The sequence below is a fragment of the Homo sapiens genome, chromosome 18 (genome assembly GCF_000001405.40).
Source record: "Homo sapiens chromosome 18, GRCh38.p14 Primary Assembly".
Lineage (NCBI taxonomy): Eukaryota > Metazoa > Chordata > Mammalia > Primates > Hominidae > Homo > Homo sapiens.
The window spans coordinates 14,456,812-14,458,753 of NC_000018.10; the positions used below are offsets into that span (position 1 = coordinate 14,456,812).

Consider the following 1,942-nt stretch of genomic DNA (forward strand, 5'->3'; position numbering starts at 1 on the left):
TGCTAGTTGTCTTTTTCCAAAGGAATATTAAACTATCTTTTATCTTTATGACAGAAGGTAATTTTACAAATTAGAACAATATGCCTACCAAAATTTGGCTCTTACTCTTTCATGGAATCTGGGAGATAATGGTGTTATCTTTCTTGAGGATTACATTTCAAAGGCATGGCTCTGAGGTCCTTGAAATGGACATTTCTGAAGTGTAAAACTGGCAAGTGGGCTCTTAAAAAATTTATTTATCAAAGAGGCAGAGAAAGAATTTACAATGATAACATTTCTAAAATATGCTAAAGAAAAAAAGAGGCCAGGAGCCAAGAATCAGAAATAATCCTGTCTAAAATTTTATCAAGCTGAGGGGATGGTTTTAGTCAAAGGTTTAGTGTAAGGGGAATTTCTATGAACAAGAGGAAGAGAAGAGCTTTTAACTACACAGGAAGAAGAAAGTTCCCAGGAGATGTGACTATGGCTCTGCCTGTGTCTCTGATCAGGTATTCAGCCCCAACATTCTCCTGGGACTCGCTCAAACAGATAGATAGGAAAAAATAGACAGTTAAAGATGAGAAAATATGCAGGCTGGTGTCTTACTTCTCTAGTGCACATAGTGTGTCCCAGGAATGACAGAGTGGCAGGACAGGGGGAAGTGCCTGAGAGATCAATTCCCTTACTCTCAGCTTGTGAGTGCTGTCTGAAAAGCCAGTCTCTCCAAGCTTGGTGGGAGGGGTACTCACAACTGGTTTGACAGGACCAGTGGAGGCCCCTGGTGGGACATGCTGGCCTCAGAATGTGAAGTCTTGGAGGCTAGAGGAAAATGGCAGTGGGTGACCAGAAACTTCATCAGTGGGTACCAATACATGCAAAATCAAAGAGAAGATGAGCCATGTCAGCAGATATCAGTGAAGAATGCCCAGAGAAGACTCCACTGACCATGCACAGCACAGATCAGCCTGTTCCAGAGGACAGTGCAAATGGCACGCTGCAGCAACAGAGGCGACTTCGACCCCGCCCACGCCGTCAGCAGCTCGGACCCTAGGGCCAGATACCACCACAGAGGCTAATTCCAGTGGTCGCCCCGCATCTCAGGAAGACGGGAACCTGCACTCAGCACCATCCCTGTGGCTGCACAGGGCCCAGGACCCGTAACCCGGCGCTCTGGGTGCGGGCCAAGAAAGAGCATAAAATAGGGTGGCATGTCGGTGAACTCGGTGACCCTCTGACAACCTGGGAGCAGCCCCAACAGCCTCAGTTGTGGGCTCAGCTGCAACTGCCACCTGCCGATGGCGCACGGGAGCAGCAGTGGCAACCCTTGACCCTGTCCCCGCCACCAGCAGCGTGGACAGCAGGGACAGATAGCGCCGCGGCGCCTAAGACCTTAGGCCACGCAGCTACAGGAGGACGTGAAACTGGCGCTGACTGCCCGCCAGAAGCTATGCAATCCCCAGCGCAGGCGAGCCCGCAGTCTGGGCGCGGGCCAAAGATCAGAGACTACGATGAAAGGACGGTGAACTTGGTGACCCTGAGTCTCGCAATGGGTTTAGCTTCAGCTGCCACCTGCAACCAACCCTGACCCTGCCCGCGTCACCAGCAGCAGTAACTCAGGGCCAGATGCCGCCTCAGCGGCTAATTCAGGTAATCGTCCTCCAGCTGCAGCAGGGCGGAAATCCGCTGCTCAGCCCCATCTCCGCGGCTGCACGGAGCCCAGCGCCCGCACAGAGCCCGGCGCCGGCACAACCCGCTCTGGGTAAGGGCAAAGGAAGAGCGGACCTAGGGTGGGAGGACCCTGCACTCCCTGACCCTCAGGCCGTCTGGGGCCAGCCTTGCCAGCCTCGGTCTAAAGCTCCGCTGCAGCTGCTACCTGCTCATGGCGCACAGCCGCTGCAAACCCGGACTCCGCCCGCCGACACCAGCGGCCTCGAAACCCTAGAGCCAGACTCCACCTAGTGGC

General features: G+C 53.5%; 1 annotated feature.

The window, feature by feature from the left end:
• Positions 1,207–1,367: a silencer, noted in NCBI's record as "fragment chr18:14458017-14458177 (GRCh37/hg19 assembly coordinates)". NCBI's record gives its function as "represses an EF-1alpha promoter that drives an FKBP-Casp9 reporter gene in an ReSE screen in phorbol 12-myristate 13-acetate-treated (for megakaryocytic differentiation) K562 erythroleukemia cells {active_cell/tissue: K562(+PMA)}" and the evidence as "EXISTENCE:reporter gene assay evidence [ECO:0000049][PMID:32094911]".